This window comes from Homo sapiens, chromosome 14 (genome assembly GCF_000001405.40).
Source record: "Homo sapiens chromosome 14, GRCh38.p14 Primary Assembly".
Taxonomy (NCBI): Eukaryota; Metazoa; Chordata; class Mammalia; order Primates; family Hominidae; genus Homo; species Homo sapiens.
The window spans coordinates 100,317,387-100,344,569 of record NC_000014.9 but is presented as its reverse complement, the minus strand read 5'-3'; the positions used below and the strand labels follow the sequence as shown (position 1 = coordinate 100,344,569).

General features: G+C 55.3%; 2 protein-coding genes and 1 pseudogene across 18 annotated transcripts in view, besides 4 other annotated features; 2 read left to right on the top strand and 1 right to left on the bottom strand.

The window, feature by feature from the left end:
• The window catches only part of WARS1 (tryptophanyl-tRNA synthetase 1), a 42,538-nt gene extending 31,758 nt beyond the window's left edge, over positions 1–10,780 (top strand). For all 16 annotated transcript variants that reach the window (NM_213645.2, NM_173701.2, XM_024449707.2 and 13 more), the window contains 4 exons: positions 1,183–1,295; positions 1,999–2,172; positions 7,368–7,508; positions 9,534–10,780. In NM_213645.2, coding sequence (NP_998810.1) covers positions 1,183–1,295; positions 1,999–2,172; positions 7,368–7,508; positions 9,534–9,695 — 590 coding nt within the window. In that variant the 3' untranslated portion in view covers positions 9,696–10,780. The remainder of the gene's footprint in view (positions 1–1,182; positions 1,296–1,998; positions 2,173–7,367; positions 7,509–9,533) is intronic.
• Positions 11,574–11,623: an enhancer, noted in NCBI's record as "active region_9038". NCBI's record gives its function as "activates an Ori minimal core promoter by ATAC-STARR-seq in GM12878 lymphoblastoid cells {active_cell/tissue: GM12878}" and the evidence as "EXISTENCE:reporter gene assay evidence [ECO:0000049][PMID:35858748]".
• On the bottom strand, positions 14,149–21,231 carry SLC25A47 (solute carrier family 25 member 47). 2 transcript variants are annotated; one of them, NM_001350877.2, is made up of 6 exons: positions 21,128–21,231; positions 18,739–18,782; positions 18,342–18,474; positions 17,200–17,382; positions 15,526–15,844; positions 14,149–15,205 (listed from the first exon to the last, which is right to left on the bottom strand). In NM_001350877.2, the coding sequence occupies exons 5-6, from the start codon at positions 15,731–15,733 to the stop codon at positions 14,925–14,927; spliced, it is 489 nt and encodes a 162-aa protein (NP_001337806.1). In that variant the 5' UTR covers positions 15,734–15,844; positions 17,200–17,382; positions 18,342–18,474; positions 18,739–18,782; positions 21,128–21,231; the 3' UTR covers positions 14,149–14,924. The 2 variants fall into 2 exon arrangements, with proteins under 2 accessions (NP_001337806.1, NP_997000.2); NM_207117.4 differs by having other exon boundaries at positions 18,342–18,413.
• On the top strand, positions 25,200–25,499 carry RN7SL523P (RNA, 7SL, cytoplasmic 523, pseudogene; annotated as a pseudogene).
• Positions 25,891–26,090: an enhancer, noted in NCBI's record as "active region_9037". NCBI's record gives its function as "activates an Ori minimal core promoter by ATAC-STARR-seq in GM12878 lymphoblastoid cells {active_cell/tissue: GM12878}" and the evidence as "EXISTENCE:reporter gene assay evidence [ECO:0000049][PMID:35858748]".
• Positions 26,076–26,622: an enhancer, noted in NCBI's record as "H3K27ac-H3K4me1 hESC enhancer chr14:100784285-100784831 (GRCh37/hg19 assembly coordinates)". NCBI's record gives its function as "activates a minimal SCP1, AML or CMV promoter by ChIP-STARR-seq in naive H9 embryonic stem cells {active_cell/tissue: H9 hESC(naive)}" and the evidence as "EXISTENCE:reporter gene assay evidence [ECO:0000049][PMID:30033119]".
• Positions 26,291–26,540: an enhancer, noted in NCBI's record as "active region_9036". NCBI's record gives its function as "activates an Ori minimal core promoter by ATAC-STARR-seq in GM12878 lymphoblastoid cells {active_cell/tissue: GM12878}" and the evidence as "EXISTENCE:reporter gene assay evidence [ECO:0000049][PMID:35858748]".

The window sequence follows — 27,183 nt, the reverse complement described above, 5'->3', positions numbered from 1 at the left end:
GAGGGGCTCCTTACGTCCCAGACGATGGGCGGCCAGGCAGAGACGCTCCTCACTTCCCAGACGGGGTGGCGGCCATGCAGAGGCTGCAATCTCGGCACTTTGGGAGGCCAAGGCAGGCGGCTGGGAGGTGGAGGTTGTAGCGAGCCGAGATCACACCACTGCACTCCAGCCTGGGCACCATTGAGCACTAAGTGAACCAGACTCCGTCTGCAATCCCGGCACCTCAGGAGGCCGAGGCTGGCTGATCACTCGCGGTTAGGAGCTGGAGACCAGCCCGGCCAACACAGCGAAACCCCGTCTCCACCAAAAAAATCCGAAAACCAGTCAGGCGTGGCGGCGCGCGCCTGCAATTGCAGGCACTCGGCAGGCTGAGGCAGGAGAATGAGGCAGGGAGGTTGCAGTGAGCCGAGATGGCAGCAGTACAGTCCAGCTTTGGCTCCGCATCAGAGGGAGACCGTGGAAAGAGAGGGAGAGGGAGACCGTGGGGAGAGGGAAGAGGGAAGAGGGAAGCCATCATAACTTCTGATAATTAAAGGTGGAAGGTGGCTAGAGAATGGTTAAATGATATGATACATTGACAGGATAGAATATACTTAGTAACAACATGGATAGTCATTACAATGAAAAAGGCAAGGAAGGCCGGGCGCCGTGGCTCACGCCTGTAATCCCAGCACTTTGGGAGGCCGAGGTGGGCAGATCACGAGGTCAAGAGATTGAGACCATGCTGGCCAACATGATGAAACCTCATCTCTACTAAAAATACAAAAATCAGCTGGGTGTGGTACGCACCTGTAGTCCCAGCTACTCGGGAGCCTGAGGCAGGAGAATCACTTGAACCCCAGGAGGCAGAGGTAGCGGTGAGCTGAGATCGAGCCACCACACTCCAGCCTGGCAACAAAGCGAGACTCCTTCTGAGAAAAAAAAAAGGAAAAGAAAAAGCCAAGGAAAGACCAAATATAGTGTAATCACAACAAAAATGCATAGAGTAAAATATATAAAGAAAATGGATGAAATCAGACACATTGCAACTGTACAGCTTGTTCTTTCTACTTTTCTGTATTTTTTAGATTTATTTTAATGATTGTTTTATAATGGGAGAAAACCTGTTTTTGTTCATTCCTTTATTAACTAAGCAGAACAGGAACTCATCTCACGTGTAAAAATACTTTTTCTCATTTTCAGGGAAGATCAGTTTTCCTGCCATCCAGGCTGCTCCCTCCTTCAGCAACTCATTCCCACAGATCTTCCGAGACAGGACGGATATCCAGTGCCTTATCCCATGTGCCATTGACCAGGTCAGCAGGCAGAAAAGCAAGGCTCTCTAAGTCTGGGGCATTGACAGCAGGTTCCTCTTACTCTTCAGCGGGGAGAGGTATTGAAAGATATGATGGGCAGCCAGGCAGGGTGGCTCACGCCTGTAATACCAGCACTCTGGGAGGCCAAGGCAGGCGGATCACTTGAGGCCAGGAGTTCAAGACCAGCCTGGCCAACATGGCGAAACCCCGTCTCTACTAAAAATACAAAATTTAGCCACATGTGGTGGCAGGCGCCTGTAATCCCAGCTACTCGCCTCGCTTGAACCCCAGAGGCAGAGGTTGCAGCGAGAGCGCATCACTGCACTCTAGCCTGGGCGACAGAGCAAGGCTCTGTCTCAAAAAAAAGGAAAGAAAGTTGGGGAGTGGGGCAAGGGGAGGGAGAGCATTAGGACAAATACCTAATGCATGCGGGGCTTAAAACCTAGATGACGGGTTGATGGGTGCAGCAAACCACCATGGCACATGTATACCTATGTAACAAACCTGCGTGTTCTGTACATGTATCCCAGAACTGGAAGTAAAATTTAAAAAAAAAAAAGGAAAAGATGAAGGGGAGGAGGGAGTGAATTTCTTTGGTTGGAAGCATGAGAGCCTTCTGGGAAGATGCTCACAGGGACTGCTCATGGCTGAAAGCTGGCATGTTTTCTGGCCGCCCTCATCAGGGTCCTTACTCTCCCCACAGGATCCTTACTTTAGAATGACAAGGGACGTCGCCCCCAGGATCGGCTATCCTAAACCAGCCCTGCTGCACTCCACCTTCTTCCCAGCCCTGCAGGGCGCCCAGACCAAAATGAGTGCCAGCGACCCCAACTCCTCCATCTTCCTCACCGACACGGCCAAGCAGATCAAAACCAAGGTGAGCAGTGGCCCAGGCAGAGGGCAGCCAGCGGGATCAGAAACATGCCCTGGGGGGCACACGCACACACACACCACTGCGCAGTGCTTTGGGCCTCAGCCACCCAGCCACCGTAGCAATGCTGAACTCCAGGATTGCCAACTTTGCTCCCTGCAGAACTCAAGGCAGCCTGTCCTTCCCACATGAATCAGGTGAATTTGTTTTGTGTCCTTTCATTTAGGTAAAATTTTGAATTTTTTTTCTTTTTTTCCTTTTCTGCTTTTCTTATCAGCACTGTTCTGCAGGCAAAGTCATGGCAATTTCCTTAAAGTTATAATTAGTGTGGATGTTATTAAATAATGGAAAAGATTTGTGTATATTTCTCATCATCAGCTGTGTTCCAGCGGCTGGACCCGGTGCCTTATTTATGTTTTCTCATGTTTCATTCTCACTGGGAGGTGGTGGTGCTATTCCCTTTAAAGATGAGATGATGAGGCTTAGAGAAGCCCAGCCACTTGACCAAGTTTCCACCACCAGGAATCAGCAGCACTGCTCTCCTGGCCCTGAGCAGCCATTACCAAGCAGGGGTTATGAGCTGGTCTTCTCCCAGAGAGCGTTCTCACTGAGAGACATAGAACGGAGAAACGTCCATCCACGGGACAGTCCTGCTGGCCCCAGGAGGGATGCATGCAGCAGGCATTCAGCAAACATTTGACAAATCACTAGAGAAACTAAAAGGAGAAGTTAGTTTGAGCTTCCTTATTTTGCATGGCCCCAGTTCTGTTGCCTGGTTCCTCAACAGCCAGTGTATATATAATTGCCTCACTGTTACACAAAGCAGTTGACATTTTCTTTGGAATCAAGTGTGTGTTTGCAGGCTAGAAGATTGCAGTGGGAATGCTGGGAACTGTATTTGAGGCATGTCACATGCCCTCTGAGTCACTGCCCCTGACCGTTCTGGAAAGTCCCAAGCAGGTTCTGGTTGACAATGGGGAAGCCTTTCATATCAAAACTTCCTAAGACATGCCCTCCACCAACTCTCCCCACTCAGTTGGAAGCTGGTATAATTGAAGACTTTTCTTTCCCTTTCACTTCTGGCCAAAACTTCCGGAGCACAGGGTGCAGAGTGGGGAGGGAAGCGCCATTGGAAAAGTCCACTGTTTTATTTTGCTTCTGAGAAGTTGTTTGGAAAAAGTTGTTTATGGCCAGGTGCGATAGCTCACACCTATAATTCCAGCACTTTGAGAGGCCGAGGCAGGTGGATCACCTGAGGTCAGGAGTTCGAGACCAGCGTGGCCAACATGGTGAAACTCCTGTCTCTACTAAAAATACAAAAATTAACCAGGCTTGGTGGCAGGCACCTATAATCCCAGCTACTCGGGAGGCTGAGGCAGGAGAATTGTTTGACCCTGGAAGACAGGGGTTGCAGTGAGCCGAGATCGCACCACTGTTCTCCAGCCTGGGCAACAGAGTGAGACTCCAGCTCAAAAAAAAAAAAAAAGAAAAGAAAAAAGAAAAACTTGTTTATGGATCTGGGACATTTATCATTCACTTAGGGACCAGTAGAGCCCTCGAGGTGAGCAGTTAGCATGAGGTCAGGAAAAACAGAGGCCTACAGACGGTCACTGGGCCTGCAGGCTTCTTGTGGGGCAGAACAGGGCCCGCCCAGGCCCTCACTCTAAATCCCCGTGCCCGACTTCAGCTCCAAAATCAGAATCTCCACACTAGAAAAGAGAGGGCACATCTGCTCCAGCCTCCTAAAAATAACAGGTTCAGGCAGGGCAGTGGCACGTGCCTGTAGTCCCAGCTACTCAGGAGGATGGCTTGAGCCCAGGGATTCAAGGCTGCAGTGAGCTACTATTGTGCCTGTGAATAGCCACTGCACCCCAGCTGGGGTGGCACAGTGAGGCCCCATCTCTCAAATTAAAAAAATCAAAATAGTAGCACAGTGCTGACGACTCAGGTGGCTTTGCTGAGTGAGTACCTGCCACCTGCACACAGTAAGCCTGTGTTATCTAACTTTATTCCAACTACCACCCTAGCTGGCTGTGTCCATTCGGCATCATTTCCTGTCACACAGAGTCACACTGGTCACCCACTTCCATCATCTTAGTTGCTGGCAGCAGTGCTCCATACCCACCCCCAAGTCAGCCCTCCATCTGTTTTCCTGTAAGTCAGGCCTGGTAGGCTGGTTCCTGCATCACTGAGGACTGATCACGTCAAGGAGGCAGAACTGAGCCCCTCAGTTCTCGAGCTCCACCCAGAAGCCTGGTGTCCCAGGAGCCAGCCTGGTCCTGCCAATCCCTGTCACATATGGCAGGTTCCTGACACTCTGGGCCTGATTTCCTTCACCTGTAAGATAGAGACATCACTACAGAGGTCATTGGGTTGTTGGGGATAAAATGCATGTCATAACCCTAACAGCCTCCACGGATGGCACATCTGCTGTGTGCCTACCGTGGGAAAAGCCTGGGGAGGGGGAGTGTGCAGGTGGTGGTGACGCCAGCACATCTTGAAAAACATGCAGCAGACACCAGTTTCCTTGTTCTCCTCTCAGATAAAGTTCTGGGAACTGGCCTTTCAATATCCTCTTCAAACTGCCCCTGGAAGCCAGGACCTGTGTTCTCAGACTTTCTTCCTGACACTGAAGCTTCTTCCCCAAGGCCCAGCAGGGAGGGCTATGGCCACCACATAGCAGTGACTCTATCAGGCACTTAGATGCTAGGAGACACCACTACTAGGTGGTTTTTTTCTTCCTCCTGTTTATTGGTATTTTCCATAGTTTTTCATTCTATAACTTTTTTTTTCCTTTTTTTTTTTTTTTTTTTGAGACGGAGTCTCACTCTGTCGCCCAGGCTGGAGTGCAGTGGCACAATCTCGGCTCACTGCAAGCTCTGCCTCCCAGGTTCACGCCATTCTCCTGCCTCAAGGCTCCCGAGTAGCTGGGCCTACAGGCGCCCACCACCACACCCAGCTAATTTTTTGTATTTTGGTAGAGACGGGGTTTCACCGTGTTAGCCAGGATGGTCTTGATCTCCTGACCTCGTAATCTGCCCGCCTTGGCCTCCCAAAGTGCTGGGATTACAGGCGTGAGCCACTGCGCCAGCCCCTCGCATGGGCCTTGCCTGAGCCTCTCGCGTGACTGCTGCTTTCCCTGCCCAGCCTCTCAGCAATGCCCTGCCAAAATGGAGACAGGCGCCTTTGCCCCAACACTCATCTGCTCCTTTTGCACAATCCCAACTTATCTAGTTAGGACTCTGCTCTAGAATTCTGTGTGTGTGTGTGTGTGTGTGTATGTGTGTGTGTGTGTGTGTGATGGAGTTTCACTCTTGTTGCCCAGGCTGGAGTGCAATGGCACAATCTCGGCTCACCACAACCTCCGCCTCCCGGGTTCAAGCGATTCTCCTGCCTCAACCTCCCAAATAGCTGGGATTACAGGCACATGACACCACGCCCAGCTAATTTTGTAGTTTCAGTAGAGACGGGGTTTCTTCATGTTGGTCAGGCTGGTCTCAAACTCCTTACCTCCGGTGATCTGCCTGCCTCGGCCTCCCAAAGTGCTGGGATTACAGGTGTGAGCCACTGCACCCGGCTGCTCTGGAATTCTTTTAAGGAAACTTACTAAACATAACAACTTAGAATTTATTGACTCTGCCCACCTTTTTTCCCATTAAAAAAAAGTTAAGACTGGGCACAGTGGCTCATGCCTGCAGTTCCAGCACTTTGGGAGGCCAAGGCAGGCGAATCACCTGAGGTTGGGAGTTCAAGACCAGCCTGGCCAACATGGTGAAACCCTGTCTCTACTAAAAATACAAAATTAGCCGGGCATGGTGACAAAAAAAAAAGTTAAGGGGCTGAGCACAGTGACTCACACCTGTAATCCCAGCACTTCGGGAGGCCAAGGCAGGCAGATCACTTGAGCCCAGGAGTTCAAGACCAGACTGGACTACACGACAAAACCTGGTCTCTACAAAAAATACCAAAAAATTAGCCAGGCTGGTGGCACACACCTATACTCCTAGCTACTCAGGAGGCTGAGGCAGGAAGGTAACCTGAGACCAGGAGGTCAAGGCTGCAGTGAGCCATGATCACACCACTGCACTCCAGCCTGGGCAACAGACTGGAGATCCTATCTAAAAAAAAAAAATTAGGGTGACATTTTCTCAGATGCTCACTGAAAGAATGTTGAAGGAGTTTCACCTATTTGTTCTGGCTTTTATTAGCCTTAATTACCCCGTGATTATCTTTAACAATTCCTAAAAGTCATTGTGTTTCTGAGTTTTTCAGCTCTGACAGTGTTGCCTGTTTGTAAGTGAAGACCTGCCTGCAGGCCCCTCTCCCTGCACAGCACTTCTCGTGGGTTTGCCTTCCCTTACTGCCTTACCCTGTGCCTTCTTGTTATGCTTTCTGTGTGGGGCTGGCCACTGCTTTCCTGTCCCCATTAACACTGCAGTACCTATCCCTAAGAGAGGCTGCCCTTCCTGCCATCTCCCTTACTCTGAGGATGACTTACTCATCCTTTTTCTTTTATTTATTTATTTTTTTAGTTTTTATTATTTTAGAAACAAGGTCTTGCTCTGTCGCCGAGGCTGGCGTGCAGTGATGCAATCACAGTCCACTATAACCTCAAACTCCTGAGTCTGAGCGATCCTTCCACCTCAGCCTCCCGAGTCGCTAGGACTACAGGCGCACGTCACCACACCAGCTAATTCCTTTTTTTTTTTTTTTTTGGCAGAGAGGAGGGCTCACTAAGTTACCCAGACTGGTCTTGACCTCCTGGCCTCAATCGATCCTCCCCCCTCAGCCTCCCAAAATGCTGAGATTACTGGCACAAGCTACCATGTCTGGCCTTACCCATCCTTTTTCTGACGCTTGTTACCTGAGGAACTTGTCTGTCCCAGGTTTCAGTTCAATCAGTGCCTTGGCTTTCCCAACTCTATTCTCCTGTGTCTCCGAGGATGGGGGGTTCAAAGCTCATCTGCCCCCACCTCTCCTGCAGTGAGCCCCACAGTAGCTCACACCCAAGCCTCACAGGAAGAACAGCAGTGGGTCCCCCACTGGCTGTGCGCCCCCAACCGGCTGTGCGCCTTGGCCTTTCCCGGGTCCAGAATCTGACAGCACTCACACCTCTGACTTCCACACTTGGGCTTCTAGCCAGTGTCCAGGCACAGGATGAGCAGGACTGAGGAGCGTGTCTGTGTCCTCTTCTGGTGCAGGTCAATAAGCATGCGTTTTCTGGAGGGAGAGACACCATCGAGGAGCACAGGCAGTTTGGGGGCAACTGTGATGTGGACGTGTCTTTCATGTACCTGACCTTCTTCCTCGAGGACGACGACAAGCTCGAGCAGATCAGGAAGGTGAGCAGGGAACCCCAAGGGCCCACAGCCGCCTTCTGCCACCCACTCCTGCCCATGGGGCCTGGAAGGCTCCAACAGCCAGGCATGAAGGCTTGGTCGGAGGTGCTCAACTGAAACAAGGTGAAAACTGAGTAGACTCGCCCTCATGGTTTTTAGGCCTGGGCTCAGAAGCCTCATGAACAAATCTCGAAAGAGCAGATACAAATCACTATTCATTTAGGAGCCACCCAAAACAGTCTTGCTTTATTAGTCATCAGAGAAATGTAAGTTAACGTGATCAAAGCTAAGACAGTTGAGTATAGAATTAGTAGGGGCTTTTGTGTTGCCATTGACTATTTTCAGTGATTATGAAGCAGATGCTTCAAGGCACACTCAAGTGAGCAGAGTGTTTATCAGCACAGCCTCAGGAAGCAGTTTGGTACTGGGTACAAAGAGCCCAAAAATGTTCAGAGCTTCTCCTCAGGTTTTCTCATTCTTAGATTTTTTCCAAGGAAATAATCCTGAGTAAGAGAAAGCTTTCCACACAAAGATGTTAAAAATGATAATAGCAAAAAGTTCAACACAGACTCAGTACAACAGAGGAAACGTTAAATTAGAATTGTTACAGGGTGGATTATTATGCGGGCATGAACTATTTTAAGTGTTCATATGCAGGGCATGGTGGCACACATCTGTAGCCCCTGCTACTTGGGAAGCTGAGACAGGAGGATCCCTTGAGCCCAGGAGTTCAAATCCAGCCTGGGCGACATAGCAAGACCCTCATTTCTTTCTTTTTTTTTTTTTTTTGAGACAGAGTCCTGCTCTGTCACCCAGGCTGGAGTGCAGTGGCGCAATCTCGGCTCACTGCAAGCTCTGCCTCCCGGGTTCACACCATTCTCCTGCCTCAGCCTCCCGAGTAGCTGGGACTACAGGCACCCGCCACCATGCCCGGCTAATTTTTTTGTATTTTTAGTAGAGACAGGGTTTTACCGTCTTATTCAAGATGGTCTCGACCTCCCGACCTCGTGATCCACCCGCCTTGGCCTCCCAAAGTGCTTGGATTACAGCTGTGACCACCGCGTCCAGCCAAGACCCTCATTTCTTTTAAAAAAAAAAAAGTTTTAGTGACACAGGAAAATATGCCTATGATAGTGAAAAAAGGATACCAAATGAAAACTCAGGGAGGAGTTAACTATGTTTAAATGAAATGCACAGGGAAAGAAATGTGAAGAAAATCTACCAAATGTTAGCGGGAGACCCACCTCTGGGCATTTTTCAGGTGGGCAATTTGTAGGTGATTTTTCTTTACTTTGCTGCTGCTTTGTGGTTTGGGTACTTTATTAAATTTGCTTAATGAGCATGCAGTACAATCAGAAAAAGAAAAAATTAGCAAGATTTGGCTGGGCGCAGTGGCTCACGCCTGTAATCCTAGCACTTTGGGAGGCCGAGGCAGGTGGGGGGAGTGGATCACGAGGTCAGGAGATCGAGACCAGCCTGGCCAATATGGTGAAATCCCATCTCTACTAAAAATACAAAAATTAGCCAGGCGTGGTGGCAGGCACCTGTAATCCCAGCTACTCAGGAGGCTGAGGCAGGAGAATCACTTGAACCTGGGAGGCGGAGGTTGCAGTGAGCTGAGATCATGCCACTGCACTCCAACCTGGCAACAGAGTGAGACTCCATCTCAAAAAAAAAAAAATTAGCAAGATTTTACAGAAGCCATAAGGCTGCCAGGAATTGTTGTTGTTTAGTGCCTGGGGGAATGGCCCCTAGCATCGGTAGGGGTGGGGACTGCCCTCCCCATTGGCCCTTTCACTGTGAGAGGCCAAGTCATGGCTATCGTCAGAGCCAGGTTTCTAGCCGTTTTAGGAAAAGTGTAGCTGAAGGTATAGGTTATTGTTGTGGTAACAACAGATCTCACTTCTGAGTGCCACCCACGTGCCAGGCTCTGCATGGGTGGTGTGGGCTGAGCTGGTGCCCGAGGCAGGAAGGAGCCACTCAGGACATGTGGAGCCATCTCTCACGTGGCTGTCTCCCTCCGGGCAGGATTACACCAGCGGAGCCATGCTCACCGGTGAGCTCAAGAAGGCACTCATAGAGGTTCTGCAGCCCTTGATCGCAGAGCACCAGGCCCGGCGCAAGGAGGTCACGGATGAGATAGTGAAAGAGTTCATGACTCCCCGGAAGCTGTCCTTCGACTTTCAGTAGCACTCGTTTTACATATGCTTATAAAAGAAGTGATGTATCAGTAATGTATCAATAATCCCAGCCCAGTCAAAGCACCGCCACCTGTAGGCTTCTGTCTCATGGTAATTACTGGGCCTGGCCTCTGTAAGCCTGTGTATGTTATCAATACTGTTTCTTCCTGTGAGTTCCATTATTTCTATCTCTTATGGGCAAAGCATTGTGGGTAATTGGTGCTGGCTAACATTGCATGGTCGGATAGAGAAGTCCAGCTGTGAGTCTCTCCCCAAAGCAGCCCCACAGTGGAGCCTTTGGCTGGAAGTCCATGGGCCACCCTGTTCTTGTCCATGGAGGACTCCGAGGGTTCCAAGTATACTCTTAAGACCCACTCTGTTTAAAAATATATATTCTATGTATGCGTATATGGAATTGAAATGTCATTATTGTAACCTAGAAAGTGCTTTGAAATATTGATGTGGGGAGGTTTATTGAGCACAAGATGTATTTCAGCCCATGCCCCCTCCCAAAAAGAAATTGATAAGTAAAAGCTTCGTTATACATTTGACTAAGAAATCACCCAGCTTTAAAGCTGCTTTTAACAATGAAGATTGAACAGAGTTCAGCAATTTTGATTAAATTAAGACTTGGGGGTGAAACTTTCCAGTTTACTGAACTCCAGACCATGCATGTAGTCCACTCCAGAAATCATGCTCGCTTCCCTTGGCACACCAGTGTTCTCCTGCCAAATGACCCTAGACCCTCTGTCCTGCAGAGTCAGGGTGGCTTTTCCCCTGACTGTGTCCGATGCCAAGGAGTCCTGGCCTCCGCAGATGCTTCATTTTGACCCTTGGCTGCAGTGGAAGTCAGCACAGAGCAGTGCCCTGGCTGTGTCCCTGGACGGGTGGACTTAGCTAGGGAGAAAGTCGAGGCAGCAGCCCTCGAGGCCCTCACAGATGTCTAGGCAGGCCTCATTTCATCACGCAGCATGTGCAGGCCTGGAAGAGCAAAGCCAAATCTCAGGGAAGTCCTTGGTTGATGTATCTGGGTCTCCTCTGGAGCACTCTGCCCTCCTGTCACCCAGTAGAGTAAATAAACTTCCTTGGCTCCTGCTCTTGTCATTGTGCTCTGTCTGGGAGGTCTGAGGAGGGAGCAGAGACCCCTCCCCTCACCCTTCTGTGGATGACCTTGAGTCTGCTGGAGTCAAAATTTGGGGATGAAAGCGCACAGTCCCAGGAACCCCATGGTGTTGTGCCACAGCTCCCAGGAATGGGCTTGTGCTGGGAGAGCCCTTAGCAGCATCCTGGTGCGGGCTCCCTCTCACACCACATTTCTCATTTCCAGCAGCTGATGGAGAATGCAAGCAGAGGTTGTCCTCGCTTTTCAGAGGAGGGGCTGGCCGTGGGGTGCTTAGTGGTGCTGTGTAGTGACGGGGAGCACAGGCTGGGAGCCAGGTCGGGCCCCATTCACATGAGGCCCAGGGCAGAGGCCGAGCTGCAAGGGAGCCCTGGGCTCATTCTACCGGCCCATCCTTATTTTGCAAGTAGGGAAACTGAGGCTTAGGAGAGGAGAACATGACTTGTCCAAGGCCATAGGGTGACTCTGATACAGCGAGTCTGTCCTGACTCTTGGTGCTTTCCACACACATACAGAGGGACCATTTTACAAATGAGGGAACTACGGTTCCCACCCTGGAGGCTGGAGGCCTGGGCTCGAGTCCCACTCAGGTACCCGGGTGCACCATGACCTCAAGTAGGCTTCCTCTCCCGGTCTCGACTCCTGCTGGCCTGGGCCCCACCCCTGCCCTCCCCTGCTCACCTGGCTGGCTATGGCCAGTGGGGGTGAGCCACCCACAGAGGCCACATAGCTCACTAGCCTGTTGCCTTGGGCAACTAATATGACTCCTCGTCGCTCTACTGCACCTGTGACGCAAGTGCAATGAGGGGTGACAAATGGAGTCAGTGACAGCTGCTGCTGTCATTGTCCACCCAGCCACAGCATCTATTGGCAGGGCCCTGGTGAGACCCTGGCCCCAGGGAGGAGTGAGCCAACACCAACCAGCTTCTCCCCTCACCGGCTGTGTGACTCTGGCCAGGTCACTTAACCTCCCAGGACCTCCATCTCCTCCCCTGTAAAAAGCAGTGATGCCTCCTGTTTAGGGTCTTAGGAGGGGTGCCCTGGGTCCAATACTCAGGTGACTTGCCCAAGGCCACTGCTGGTCAGGACACAGGGGAGCCACATGTCTCCCAAGCCTCCCCAGTTTTGCTAAAAACCAGTGGTTTCTGAGAGAAATGTTCCCTGAAAGACATGGGCGTGTCTGGATTAGGATGGACAGGTTGCAGTGGCCCCATGAGTGTTTGGGGATGAGGCATGAGGCCGGGTGCCTGCACCACCGTGGTGCCAGAGGCTCTGCCGGAAGAGCACTCCTGCTCTGGCTGGTAATGTCCACTTGTCAGACAGATGTGGGGCCAACCCAGCTCAGTCTCTCTGTCCCGTGGCCCCCAGCCTGGAGGAGAGACCAGCTGAGCCTGCCTGAAAGGAGATGGTGCCTGAGAAGCACACAAAACAGCACTGGGTGGGGAAGCAGGGACAGGAAGGAGGGTGGCTGAGCACACGGGTGGCTGTGGAACAGCTCGTTGCTCCAGGACGGCACTTGGCAAGCAACAGGCCTGCCTCTGGCCCCCAGTGCCCGCCTGCAGCACCAGCAGATGTGCCCTCCCCAGGGTCACACTGGCTGGGCCTTGAGGCCCAGGACTCTCTGGTCATTACCATAGAGGTTGTAAAGACAGTGAGGACAGCCAGACGCGGTGGCTTACACCTGTAATCCCAGGCTGAGGCGGGCAGATCACGAGGTCAGGAGATCGAGACCATCCTGGCTAACACGGTAAAACCCCATCTCTACTAAAAATACAAAAAGAAATTAGCCAGGCGTGGTGGTGGGCACCCGTAGTCCCAGCTACTCGGGAGGCTGAGACAGGAGAATGGCGTGAACACAGGAGACAGAGCTTGCAGTGAGCCAAGCCGAGATCGCGCCACTGCACTCCAGCCTGGGCGACAGAGCGAGACTCCGTCTCAAAAAAAAAAAAAAAACAGTGAGGACAGAGGCCTTTCCTGCAAACCCCCTCCCCAGTGACACGCAGAGCCAGCTGCTCAGTGACACGGGCTCAGGGAGAGCCAAAGGCCCCCACCTCCCAGAGTGCAGCCACTGCCAGAGCCGGGCCAGGAGTGCTGCCAGGAACCCTCCTGCCAAGGCCGAACAGGTGGGGTCTTCTCGACAAAAACGGTCCCGGGGTCAGTGTTTGATGAGCCATGGAAACCTGTCAGCGCCTGCCCTTTCCCGGCATTCGGCCACAACATCTCAGCCTCTGCAACTCCTAAGCTGGACACACTTCCTGGAATCTACTGCAGGACTTATTCATTCATTCATTCATTCATTCACTCGCTCATTCATCCCACACCCCCTACTATGCAGCAGCCCTGGAGCTAGATGGAGTCCTTGCACAGCCCGCAGGCTCTTGTGGCCGGGGAGAGGCAGATGAGTGACCACACACCCAACCAGGTCCCCAAGGGAGCAGAGCAAGAGATGCTTGGGAGCAGCCCAGTGGTCAGGCAAGGAGAGCTTCCTGGAGGAGGTGGCGCCTGGGGTGTGGAGCCAGCCAGGCAGAGCAGTAGGAGGGTATTCCTGGCAGAGGGCACAGGGCATAAGGTCAGGTGCCCACAGCACCACACATATGGGGACTGGCGTAACAAGAGGGGTTCCACCCCTTACTCTGGGAGCAGAAGAATTTTGTTCGGCAGAACACAGGACAGCGTTCAGTCCACAGACACAGTCAAGGTCAGTGTCCATGAGTGAATATAGTCAATGCAGGTGGCCTCTGGCCCTGCCAGAGGGCTGCTGTGGTGGAGACCCGGTGGCTTCACGCTGGACCTGCCAGCCCTAGCCCCTGATAGCCCCCATCATTGGAAGCCACATGATGCCAGGAGGGGGGGTGCTGGAGCCTCAGAAGCACTGGCTGCAGTCCACCCACCCCTCCCTGATGCGTGACGGCAGGCAAGGCCCCCTCCCTCTTGGAGCTGTCAGGTGGCTGTGGTGAGCTGTGCAAGGCACCTGGCGCCCTCCCACGGGCAGCCCCCTCTGGAAGGGGAGCTCACATTCAGGGCAGGTGGGAGGGCCTGGCTGGAACCAGCTTTCGCTCAGAAAGCGGGTGGGTTTGGGATAGGGTGGTGAGGACAGTAAGTACCCTGCTAAACAGCCCCCTGCGGCAGGACTCAGCACCATAGGCTAGGCCCCACAGCCCAGAAGGCCGAGAGAGTGGAGCCCGCCAGAGTGCCAGGCGGGGTTTCAGTGTGGCCATCTGCACAGTGGGAGCACCAGCAGCTCAGGTTTCGAGGGCTCATCCAGCAGGAAGGGAGCAGGACAGGGCCACAGCCCCACACCTCCCAGGACGGGTGGGCAGGCCTCACAGGGTGCAAAGCTGCTGGGGGCAGGGAACAGTCAGCCCACGGCCATGGAGCCACAGCCCTGAACATCCTCAGAAACATTTTATTGACAACAGTTCCCAACAGAGTCTTTGGGGTCTTTAAGTGGCAGGTGCAGCGTCCACAGGCAGAGTGAGGGCTCCTGAGGAACCTCACCCCAAATTCCCTAACCGGCCGAGGACGGCCACCCCAGGCCCCTCTCAGGTGGGCATGGCAGTCCCGGCAGCACCCCCTCTGAGCAGCCTGCTGTGGGGAAGAAGCCGAGCCGGGAGCCCTCAGTCGTGGTGCCAGCCCAGCTCATGCTCCCCGCCCCGAGGCCCCCAGCCTGTGGGAAGCCCCTGCCTGTAAGGGACAGCTCGTGAAGACACAGGAACAGTGGTGGGGGTGAGGGTCTAGGAATGGGGCAGAGGGTGGCTGAGCACACACCTGACTCCCTGGAGGGGTGCTTCAAAGACATGGGAGGCGAGGGCCATGGGGAGGCTGGGATGAACAACCGACTCCATGCAACTCAACGCTCTCATCAAAGAGGCCCACTCCTCCCTGGCTCCTGCCACCCTAGGCCAACCCTGGCTGATGGCTGGCGGGCCCCTCGACCTGAGGTCAGTAGCTGGGCAGGGCGAGCTCAGGCCTCGGCCGACAACACTGCAGGGAGGCTCCTCATTCTCCTGGGCAATGGCCCTGTGGGGTCCCGAACCCAGCCACACTACCCCTTGCCTCCTCCAGCCACTACGACCTCCAGCAGCTGCTGGTGGGTGGGCCGCTGGGCGTGGGGACCGGCTATGTGAGCAGACCCCGGGCGAGCCTCAGCACTGCCTCATAGGCGACGAAGACCACCATGTTGACAGGGAAGGCGCGGCAGCAATTGAGTACCAGCCCCTTGAAAAGGACCCGGGGTCCCTCCTCTCGAACGCTGGTCACCATACAGTGCAGGAGACCCCGGTAGCGCCTCTGGCCCTGCCCGTCTGCCTGCAGTCTCGACTTGATCACGTCCATGGGGGTGGCCACAGCCCAGGCCAGGACTCCTGCACAGCCCCCGGCCACCAGCACGCCCGGGACATCTGCAGAGAGACCACAGTGCCTTGACTGGGAGCCTGATCGGGGCGCCCAGGGCAGCGCACCCTGGACTCACGCTTCCGGCCCGTCCTCATTTGCAACAGGCTTGGGAGAGGGGAATGGGACTTGTCCACAACCACACACTGACTCTGTGACACAGCAAGTCTGTCCTGACTCTTGGTGTTGGGAGAACTGAGGAGCCCACTCTGGGAGGCAGGAGGCCAAGTTCAAGCCCCCACTCGGGTACTGGCGGGCAGCACGACCTCACCTTGACCTCCTCATCCTTCTGGGCTCCCCGCCCTGCCAGGTTCCAGCCCCTGCTCACCTGGCCGGCTGTGGCCAGCGGGGCTGAGCCACTCGCAGAGGACCGCGTAGGAAAGGAAGTAGGTGGCAAAGGAGTGGCCGTCCCGTAAGACCAGGGCCGAGCTGCCCTTGTAGAGGCCGCACAGCCCCTCCTCACGGGCTACCGTGGCCAGGCAGTGCAGTGGCCCGCGGTACTTGGGCTCTGGGCAGGCTGGGGGCACAGGACACATGGGGGGCACAGCCAACGGCCCCGAGGCCGAAAGCCGCCGCTGCTGCTTCTGCGCCTGTGTCTGCGTCTGCAAGCGGACTTTGGCCACCTCAGTGGGCGACGTCAGGAACACCTGGAGCAGAGAAGGAAGCAGGGGTCAGCCACCTGTGGCTCTGCCCACAGCCTGGACCTGGCCTCCCACCAGCCTCATGTTGCTCACGGTGACCTCAGGAGGTTGGGCCCCGAGACCCTGCAGGCTGGCCCAGGGCTGGGGGGCCACGGGGCCCAAAGCCAGCTCCGCCCACCCAATGCCAAAGCCCATGCTTCCTCGGCAGCCACATCTCTCCCAGGCCAGCCTGCCAGGCTTCTCCTGGGACGTGTAAGATAATTTCCATGACCCAGGTTCAAGAACGTATTTAGTAACATATCAGCAATAAAATAATACCATGGCCAGGCGCAGCGGCTCACGCCTGTAATCCCAGCACTTTGGGAGGTCAAGGCAGGCGGATCACGAGATCAGGAGTTTGAGACCAGCCTGGCCAATATGGGTGAAACCCCATCTCTACTAAAAATACAAAAATTAGCCGGGCTTGGTGGCGCGTGCCTGTAGTCCCAGCTACTCAGGAGGCTGAGGCAGGAGAATTGCTTGAACCTGGGACGTAGAGGTTGTAGTGAGCGGAGATGGTGCCACTAAACACTGGCCTGGGTAACCGAGCAAGACTCTGTCTCAAAAAAAAAAAAAAAAATCACTAGACATACTGGCTGCCACTTTGTGGGTACTCATTCATGTCGGACTCCACATATGTGTGCTGGGGGCTTTACCCTCATGATTTCACTAAATTCTCATCATGCCTCTTACAGATGGAGAGACAGAAGCTCCAAGAGTCTCCCTTGCTTGCCCAAGGTTGCTCAGCTCATGAGGGTCAGAGCTGAGAGCTGGGCCTGGTGGTCTGGACCCCTGGGCCAGGCCTTCAGCTGCTGGGCTGCTCCAGCTGGCTCCGTGCTGTCACCAAGTGCGAAAGTCTGTCTCCCCTGCGGGAGCAAGGGCTCCCTGAGGGCAGGCGGGCACCGCAGGTGCTCCATGCACAGTTGAGGATGGAGAAATGCCCACATCCAGCAATGGCCGACTGTGTTCAGGCATCTCCGTGCCTGGAGCCATGAGTGCCCGGGGCCTGCCTATTCAGCTCCCCATGGTGGCTTCTAGGTGACCTTCTGACCGTGACAGGGAGAGTCCCTTTGGTCACAGCCCCCTTCCTGAGGGGGCCGTGCTGGGCAGGACAGCAGCGACCCCCTCATCTGTGTGCTGCTGAGGGGTTCCAGGCCCAGCCTAGGCGGGATGCGAGTTCTTCTCCCACAGCCCCTGACTCCATGCATGGCCTCCAGTGTCTGCCCTCATCAAGCCTCAGTTTCCCCACCTGCCAGGATGGATAACCTCTCAGACCCCGCAGTCTCTCTTGGGCCTTCCCCACCCTGGCTGCCCCTACTCACGCGGACGAGGCCGGAGGCGCATCCCGAGAGCGTGATGTCGGCCTTGGTGGGCTTGGCGTCAGGGTTGCCGTACCGGAGCCGGCAGATGTGCGCCAGGCAGTGGCGGTAGGTGCCAAAAGACACGGAAGATACCAGGGACACCGTGCACACGGGCAGCGAGAGGCCCCGGTAGAAGCCCCACACCTAGCAGACAGGATCCAGGTCAGGCTAGGGCCCCGCCAGGAGGAGGAGCCACCCGAGGGAGCCCACACTCAGCCCTGCTCCGCACTCCGCTGTCGGACCTCGGGAAGGTCATTCACGGCCTCAGGGCCTCAGTTTCCTCTGCTGTAAGATGGAGGTCACAAGGGGGGACCTGAAGAGCCAGAGGACCAGGCCCAACCCAGCCCAGCTGCTTGATGACGATGAACTTTTTTTTTTTGCCCAGGCTGGAGTGCAGTGGCACGATCTTAACTCACTGCAACCTCCGCATCCCAGGTTCAAGCGATTCTCCTGCCTCAGCCTCCTGAGCCACTGCGATTACAGGTGCCTGCCACCACCTCCAGCTAATTTTTGTATTTTTAGTAGAGACGGGGTTTCACCATGTTGGCAAGGCTTGTCTTGAACTCCTGACCACAGGTGATCTGCCTGCTTCGGCCTCCCAAAGTGCTGGGATTACAGGCGTAAGCCACCGCTCCTGGCCTGACAATGAACTAGTAACAGCATGTTCTGCCACTGCTGCTTTCACAAACTAGCCCCTGGCCTGCACCAAGCCCCAAGTCCACGTAGGAGAATGTCGCCAAGTACTGCTCCGGACAGGTCTCTGAGCTAGACCCTAAAGACTCCACCCAACACTGCCTTCAAGGGGTGCCTGGCCTGGAGGAGACAGAAATGCAGTGCATGGGTCCCTCCTCCGACTTTCAAAGACCTGAACGCTACCTCTAGACCCTCTGCTGGAGGTGGGAACCTCCTTCTGAGGCCCCTCTAGCTGCCAGATGTCCTGGCTCCAGACCTCAGAGGAACCCATGAGATTGGCAGAACTATTCCCATGTGGAAGGTGAGAGAGCTGAGACCCAGCGGGGAGCCTGGCATCACCTGCTGGGCAGCGGAGGCAGGCCCAGCATCCCCTCCCTGTCTCCCTACCCAGCCCCTGGCCCCAGACCTACGCGCTCTCGGTGATACGTATCCCGGACGCAGTGCCAGATGCCTGTGTACTTTGGCTCCGTCTGGATCCTGACCTGCAGGAGAAGTGGGCTTCAGGCACGAGCGGCTCCAGGCCTAGGGCAAGGCCAGCAGGCCCTGGGGAAGGGGCAGAGTCACACTCTTGATTGTCCCAGCCATGCTGGACGGTGGCACAGCAGGGACAGGGAGCCTTGTGTTAGACGAGAAACCTGGGGCACAGGGGTGAGAAAGTGGGACTGACATAGTCCCAGGGGCTATGGGGAGCCATTGAAGGCATTTGGGTAGGAAAGGGGTGGGTCTGTTTAGCATTCTAGAAAAGTCTCCTGGCCGTGGACAGGTGCAGGGGCCTTAGGATGGTTGGGGGGCTGGCTATTGCCGCACCTTCACCGTGTCCAGGGGGTAGCCCACAGCAACACCGCAGACGCCTGCAAGGAAAGAAGAGGCCCACGGTGAGGAGAGTGGGGCCGGCGAGCAGTTCAACCCCATTGCAGGGAAGCAGAAGCAGAGCGCACGCTGACTGGGCTCCCCCAAGGGCAGACCCACATTTGGCCCTTCTGGTCTGCACCAGGTCTCATCAATCCTGAGGGCACCCCCGTTTTAGAGATGAGGAAATTGAGCCTCCGAGTGTCTTCTACCCTTTGCAAGCAAGTTCCCCTTCCCTGAGTCCTGGCCCGGGACTGCCTCGTCCTCGCTGCCTTGGGCCAAAGACATGCCGACATGCCCCGGCCTCCCCACGGGCGTCATGCTCTGAGAGAACGTTTGATCCTACCCTAGCTGGGCCCTGTCTCTGAGCCAGGCAGACCTTGCCCTCAAGCCGTCAGCCCATGGAGGGTTTGCCTGTGAGCCAGGCGGTAACTGTGTTTTGGCTGCGTGGGTGGAAGGAGGGGGAGGCACAGCCTGGGCAAAGGCCAGGAGGAGGGAAGCCGAAGCCCACACCGGGGTTCGTGAAGAGCCAGGACTGCCTGGAACCACAAGCGTGTGTGGAAGAGAGAGGGCCGGGAGTCCACACCTTGCAGAGAGGCCTCGGGTGCCAGGCCTCAACATCCAAGCCCCAGCACTGCCACAGGGAAGTCAGAGGGGAAACAGGGTGGTCCCTGGGAGGACCATTCTCTCCCCTGAGGGGAGGTGGTAAAGGCCAATGGAAGAAAATAGGCACATGGGGACTGTACCCTATTCACTGTAGCCCAGGACTCAGTAAATATGTGGGATGAAAGAATGAAGTGAATAAATGTAAGGCAAAAGACCAAGTGGCTTGGAGAGAACGACCCTTCTTAACCCTCCCATACACCTCACACACCTCACCAGGCTCCTACTCATCCATCAAAGCCCTGCCACGACACTACCTCCTCTCTGGAGCCCTCTCTGGCCTCTGTACTCTGGGCTGCCTCTGTGCCTGGAACATGTTGAGCAGAGCCCTTGTCATATGGCCTTGCTGTTGTATGCCACCGCCACCTCCAGAACTGGAGTTCTCCAAGGACACGGCCGAGGGCTGACACCCCATGACCCAGGGCCAGGCACAGAGTGAGAGCCCTTTACCTAGGCCTCCTCATGGCTCCGGAGGAAAGATGCCAGACTCAGGAGCCCTTTCCAGCTGTGTGATGTCAGGCAAGTCCAGTAGCTTCCCTGAGGAAGGGAGCGGCTGGCCCCAGGCTGGCACCTAGCTGGGGCTGAGAAAGGCTGCTAATGGAGGCCGGGCGCAGTGGCTCACGCCTGTAATCCCAGCACTTTGGGAGGCTGAGGCGTGCGGATCGCTTGAGGTCAGGAGTTTGAGACCAGCCTGACCAACATGGTAAAACCCTGCCTCTACTAAAAACCCAAAAATTAGCCAGACATTGTGGTGCATGTCTGTAATCCCAGCTACTTGGGCGGCTGAGGCAGGAGAATCACTTGAACCCAGGAGGCAGAGGTTGCAGTGAGCCAAGATCACGCCAGTGCATTTCAGCCTAGGCGACAGAACAAGACTCCATCTCAAGGGAAAAAAAAAAGAAAAAGCCTGTTAATGGGGCAGGTACTCTGCCTTCTCCCAGGGCCAGAGCTGGGCCGCTCTCCCAACCCCCATGCTGTTTCCAGAAGTACTGACGCCACCCACCGATGTTTCACAAGACCAGCAAGGGCAGGAGTGCCCACTCAGAACAGCCCCCACAGCCCACGGGATGGAGCTGAGCCCGTGTCCCAGGGCCTGGTTATCTCCCTGAATCAGTCTTTCACCAGGAGCCCTTCCCCAGGAGGGAGAACGGTTTCTCCAGCAGAGTCTGGCCTGAGAAGCAGGCTCTGGAGGCCTAGCCAGGTGCACACACCCAGCAGGGCAGGTGGAGCCACCTCGCCAGGCCCCTTACCGTCCTCTGCCCGCCCCTTCCAGTCCCTGCTGCAGGACCAGGCCCATCTTCCCTACCCATCTCCCCACCCTCTCGATCCTCTCCTGGGGTCTTCTTTCCCTTCCAGTGACTCAATCACCCCTCCCCACACCAAGGACTCCCAGCCTCCCTGACTCTGCCTCCCGAGCGGCCCCCATGCCTAGACCACAGCCCCATCCCCAGCCTGCCCTCAGCCTCCTGTCTGAGCCTCCCAGGCCAGTGCAGCCCCCCAGGCCCTGCAGCACCCCTCACCCAGCCTTAGCCTCCCAGGAACCTGCTCTCTGCTCCTGGCAGATCCTGGGGGGTGAGGGGCTCCTCAAAGCCCACCCTGCTGCCCAGCACCTTCCTGGACCTCAGTTCCTCCTGCTACCCCCAGGAGCAGCAGTGTCTGCACAGCCCACCATCCTGTCTGTTACCTCCGATGGCTCCAGCGACAAAATCCATGAACAAGGTGTGGCGGGGAGGCCCTGGGTCTGCCTGCCTGAGAGGGCTTTGGTGCCACCAGGGTGGCCTCAACAGCTCCCAGCTGGCCCCTCTCAGACCTTAAATACCTGCGGCAGGGGAGGGGACCGGAAGCAGAGCCTGCTGAGGCCACGCGGCACACAGCTGGACTCCCTCCCTGCCCCCGGGACCCTTGTCCCAGTGCCCTCGGGACCCAGGTGTCAGGAAAACACAGGAGAGAGCACGGGAGGTGACAGGCACCAGAGAGCAGGGGCACTGCCCCATCACATCCAAACACCTCCTGGGAAGGTCCAGAGATGGGGCTGTGACAGCTCTCGCCCTCCAGGTCCAAGCCCAGGCCTTCACTGTGTCCCCTGGGCTTTCCCGACTCCCCTGGATTTGCTCAGGACCCCTGCCTGGGAAACCTGCAAAGCTCCCTCTCTTACTCACTCAAAAAACACTTACTTTGCTGATGCTACACCCAGGCAAATGAGAGCCAGTCCCTGTCCTCAAGGAGCTCCAGTTGGCAGGGAGGGAGGGGGTGGCAAGGACAGGCCTGAACCCAGGAACAGCACCCACCATCTGCTCTCACCCTTCCCGCTGCCCCGGTTCCCTGCTCTCTGCTCCATGGGAATGTGTCTCCCTGGACCCAGAGGCGAAGGCCAAGGCTGCCTCCACCAAGTCCCCCTGCCCACATGAACCAGGGACAGAGGCTGCCGATTCAGCCTCTGAACCAGCGGCTGGGGCCCTCCTGAAGGGGAAACCTCTCCACTAAGACGCTACTTCTGTCTGCTGGGCACTGTAAAAACAGGGACCTCCTTGCCCGTGCACCCCACCTTACAGTTCACCAAGCTCCCCTCACTCTCAGGCTCTAGGATCCTCCTCACCGCCCCAGGAGGGAGACAGCGCAGCGTTAGTGCTCCCCATTTCACAGATGGGGCCATTGAGGCCCAGAAAGGGGGCTTGTCCAAGGCCACGAGGGCGGCAGGGCTGGATGTGATCCCCAGATGCTCTCATACAACCCACCCTCTGGGATATCCAGGCCCGCCTGGGGAGGCCCCAGAGGGCTCTCAAGGGGACTCAGTGCATGCCCCATGTGACCTGCACTGCATCCTTGTGAGATCTCCACGTGAGACACCAAGGCTCAGGGAGGCTGTGCAGGTACCTCGGCCACACAGCTGCTGAGCAACAGAATCTAAGTGAGTGCCCCACAGACTGGAATGCCAGCAGGATAGGGGAGGGGCAGGTGTTGATGCATGAGGCCCAGGCAGCCCATCTGGGCAGCCCTCGGGACAGGTGGCAAGGCCAGGAGGCTCTTTGTCTACCTGTTTTCCTGTCCTCTAATGGCTGGACCTGCAGGCTGGCCTTGAGCAGGCTGAGAGCTGATGGAGGGACAGCCCCCCTGCCAGCCCGGCTATTTATAGGCAAGTGGGAGACACAGGATGAGCAGTGCCAGCTGCCACGGCAGAGGGCAAAGGGCGGGAAGTGGCCCATCCAAGGCCAGTCCCAATGCTAGTCCTGGCCCTCAAGGGGATGAAGCTTAGCATCTGGTTAGAAGCTGGCTGCCTGCCTTTAAAGCCCAGCTCTGCCACTCACAGCTGAGACCGTGGGCCAGCCCCTTGACCACTCTGTGCCTCAGCTTCTGCATCCATGAAATGAAGAGAGTACCTGCCTCATATCTGCGACCACGCAGGGCAAAGTCCGGGCGTGTCCCTGTGAGAGTGGCCAGCTAAATGCTAATGCTGCATTAACAGAAGCATAGAGTCTGGAAGGAAGGAGGTGGCTGGCCTGTTCTGGGCAGGGCAAATACAGCTGAGACTTGGGTTTGATTGCTGATGCTGCACTCAAGAAGCCAGTACCTTGGGTGCTGAGGGAGTTTGAAGCACTGTGTCTAACTGAAAGAACAGGGACCATTCAGATCCATGTTTCCTGTAGAGCATCCAATGCAGCAAGTGCCACCCACCCATAGCACCTGAGCCAGAAGCCCAGGAATTGCCCTGGACACCTCTCTCTCTCCACCCCACATCCAGAGTCCCCAGTCCTGTGTGTCAACCTCTTAAATTCACGTTCAGCTCCCTTCACCACTGTCCATCTGCACGGCCTCAGCCGCGTCATCATCCCGTGGACCGCAGCCCGCCCCGCCCATGCCCTCTACTCATGAAACCAAGGCTGCCTGTCGAGTTTTAGGCACGGGGACACATCAGTAAACACAACGGATAAAAGCCCTTGCCCTGGGCTGGGCACGGTGGCTCACGCCCATAATCCTGGCACTTTGGGAGGCTGAGACGGGCAGATCACAAGGTCAGGAGTTCAAGACCAGCCTGGCCAACATGGTGAAACCCCGTCTCTACTAAAAATACAAAAATTAGCCAGGCGTGGTGGTGGACACCTGTAGTCTCAGCTACTTGGGAGGCTGAGGCAGGAGAATTGCTTGAACCCGGGAGGCTGAGGTTGCAGTGAGCCGAGATTGGGCCACTGCACTCCAGCCTGGGAGACAGAGTGAGACTCTGTGTCCCAAAAAAAAAAAGCCCTTGCCCTGGTGGACCATAATTATGTTCAGGGAGGAGGACAGCCAGCCAACAGATGAATAGCCAAAATACAGAGTACCCGCAATGGCGGCAAGTGCCAGGAGAGAAATAAGGTGTCGGGGAGAGGGAGACTTGCAGGAGGTGTTAGGGAGGCCCCAGAAGGTGACATTTGAGACAAGCATGTTCTCAGTCATCGCAGCCAAGTTTTACCTGCCCTTTGTCTCCTGAACAAACATGCCCTAACTTGACCCTCTTCTCTGAGGCAGAAATAGAAAACAGGCCACCCCACCATTTAGGCTGCTTCGTGCAGGTCTAAACATTTCCCCACTCAGCTGTGGGCTTCAGGCAGGCAGGGTGGTGCTGGGTTTGTCTCCACACCCATGGCACCCAGAATAGGTGGGCACCCTGGGGAGACCACGTAAATAAGTATGTGAGAAAATGAGTCAGTGAACAGATGGAAGGATGGATGGATGGACAGAGGGATGGAGGGACGGATGGAGGAGGGCTGGGCAGACAGATGGATGGATGGAAGACAAACGGAGGAGGGAGAGATGGGCAGGTGGACAAATGGATGGATGGGAGGAGGGCTGGACAGACGGATGGATGAGTGGGTGATAGATGGAGGGACGAGTGGATGGATGAAGGGGTAGAGCGATGAACGCATGGACAGAAAGACAGATGGAAGGATGGCAGGGGCCCCACAAGAAAGGGGTGAGACAGTGTTGCAGAATCTGAGACAGGCCGTCAGTCAGTCCACACCCTCAGCACCCACACTGTGCTGGGCCCTAATGATCAAAGGGACCTCAAAAGGATGTCACTCACCAGCCCCCATCACCCCATCCATCCTTTCCACCGAGCACCTTGTCCTCCCTGAAGGTGTGCACCTGGAGGCCCTGCCCTCCTGGGTGTCCTCAGCTGGAGATAGCCAATGGCATTAGATCACTTTATTTGCTTTTTTATTTTTAATTTTTATTGTTTTAGATGGAGTCTCGCTCTGTCGCTCAGGCTGGAGTACAGTGGTGCAATCTTGGCTCACTGCAACCTCCATCTCCTGGGTTCAAGCAATTCTCCTTGAACCAAGGAGGTGGATGTTGCAGTGAGTTGCCTCCTGAGTAGCTGGGATTACAGGCACGTGCCACCATGCCCGGCTAATTTTGTTGTATTTTTGGTAGAGATGGGGTTTCACCATGTTGGCTAGGCTGCTCTCAAACTCCTGACCTCAAGTGATCCCACCCATCTCAGCCTCCCAAAGTGCTGGAATTACAGGAATGAGCCACCGCACCCAGTGGCATTAGATGACTTTAAACAATCATTATTATTCTTGTTAGGTGCAATAATGGCACCAAAGTTCTGTGAGAAAATGCCTATATTTCTTAGAGATACAAACAGAAGTACAGGTTGGTGAAATGGCACGATGGCTGAAATTTACTTTAACATTGTCTGGCAAAAAAAGAAAGGAAGAAAAGGAGAAAGATGATGAGTATATGGCCTTTGTCGTAGTCCGTGATAAAAAGGAGTAGCCGGGTGTGGTGGCGCATGCCTGTAGTCCCAGCTATTCAGGAGTCTGGGGTGAGAGGACGACTTGAGCCCGGGAGTTCTGGACTGTAGCGCACTGTGCTGATTGTCCAATACACTACAGTCAGCATCCATACAGTGACCTCCCAGGAGTGGGAGACCACCAGGTTGCTTAAGGAGGGGTGAACCCGCCCAGGCTGGAAATGGAGCAAGGCAAAACTCCTGTGCCAATCAGTAGTGGGATTATGCCTGTGAATAGCCACTGCACTCCAGCCTGGGCAACATGGCGAGTGAGACCCCATCTAAAAAAATTTAAAAAGTAGTAAAAGGGCCAAGGGTGGTGGCTCACGCCTATAACCACAGCACTTTGGGAGGCTGAGGTGGGCGGATCACCTAAGGTCAGGAGTTTGAGACCAGGCTGGCCAACATGGTGAAACCCCATCTCTACTAAAAATACAAAAATTAGCTGGGCGTGGTGGCGGGGGCCTGTAATCTCAGCTACTCAGGAGGCTGAGGCATGAGAATCGCTTGAAGCCAGGAGGCGGAGGTTGCAGTGAGCTGAGATCATGCCACTGCACTCCAGCCTGGGTCTCATTGAAAAAAAAAAAAGTAGTAAAAGAACAGTGAACAGGAATGAAGCTGTTTGTACCCTGTCCAGCCTCCTTCCAGGCCTCATCGTTCCTGCCTGTTCGAGGGGAGGAGCCCTCAGCCTAGGGTCTGGCCCGGGGCTCTGCCTCTCCCGGCTGTGCTACCCTGGGCTGGTGGCGTGACCTCTCGGGGTCTTGATTTTTCCAGCAGGCGATGGACCTGGGGTCTTCTGCGGACGGCAGGAGGCAGAGCCTGGGAGAGTCCACTGGAGCCAGCCGGCTGCCCCTCCGACAGGCAGGGTGACTGCTAGGAGATCCAGGCTGCCTTCAGGCCTCCTCCACCGGCGCCCGAGCCCACGCTGTGCGCGGCCCGGGCTGCCCTTGCGGGAAGGCTGCGTTGTCCCCTAGGGGGCGGCAGACGTTGCCCAAGCAACCAACCCGGGCGCCGCAGAGGGCTTCGGGAGGGGGCCTGCAGGCCCTGCTGGCCGGGCCACACATTCTAAAATACCTTTTTATTTTTATAACGAAAGGAATAACTACAGGTTATGATTATTTTTAACCCACACAGAACTGATGGAGCCAGCATGGAAAGTGAAAGTCTCACCACCCAGCCTGAGGACCCGCCTGCAGCGATCCGGCCAGCACTAGCCTTTCCTTTATCTTCCTCTTTCTTTTTTTTGAGACAGAGTCTCGATCTGTTGCCCAGGCGGGAGTGCAGTGGTGCTATCTCGGGCTCACTGCAAACTCCGCCTTCCGGTTTCAAGCGATTCTCCTGCCTCAGCCTCCTGAGTAGCTGGGATTACAGGCGCCCACCAACACGCCCAGGTAATTTTTGTATTTTTAGTGGAGACGGGGTTTCACCATGTTGGCCAGGCTGGTTTTGAACTCCTGACTTCGGGTGATCCACCTGCGTCAGCCTCCCAAAATCTCTGAGAAATATAGGCATTTTCTCACCCCAGGCCCAGGGCCCTAGCCATGATCACACCACTGCACTCCAGTCTGCCAACAGTGAGACCTTGATCCCCAAAATAAATAAGTAAAATGAAACAAGCCAGCCCTGTGCCCAGGATATGAGAGCCTATATGCTCCAGGCTTGGCCCGTGTGTGTTTGGGTATATACAATGCCCAGCTGGCTGCTGCAGACCACACGACCCCAGGCAGTGGGTGGGTGCAGTCTCACCCACTCTGGAAGGGAGTGGGTGTGCCTTTGGGGTGAGATTGGTGTGTGGAGCAGGATGAGCCCCCGCTCAGTCCTCCCAGACACTCTAGCCTCCCTCTGAAATCCTGAAAGCTAGGGCCCTGGGCCTGGGGTCTCTGAGCCCGTGCGGCCCCTGGGACAGACCTTCAAGCTACAAAGCCTATCACAGGGCATTCGTGCTGTCTCCCCTCCCTGGAAACAGG

Excerpts from the sequence above, each read along its gene's own strand:
- SLC25A47 (NM_207117.4), bottom strand. The coding sequence starts at position 21,155 with ATGGATTTTGTCGCTGGAGCCATCGGAG. Across the intron at positions 17,383-18,341 it reads ATACGTATCACCGAGAGCGC|GTGTGGGGCTTCTACCGGGG; the intron begins GTAGGTCTGGGG and ends CCTGTCTGCTAG. Across the intron at positions 15,845-17,199 it reads GCGCCTCCGGCCTCGTCCGC|GTGTTCCTGACGTCGCCCAC; the intron begins GTGAGTAGGGGC and ends TCTCTGCTCCAG.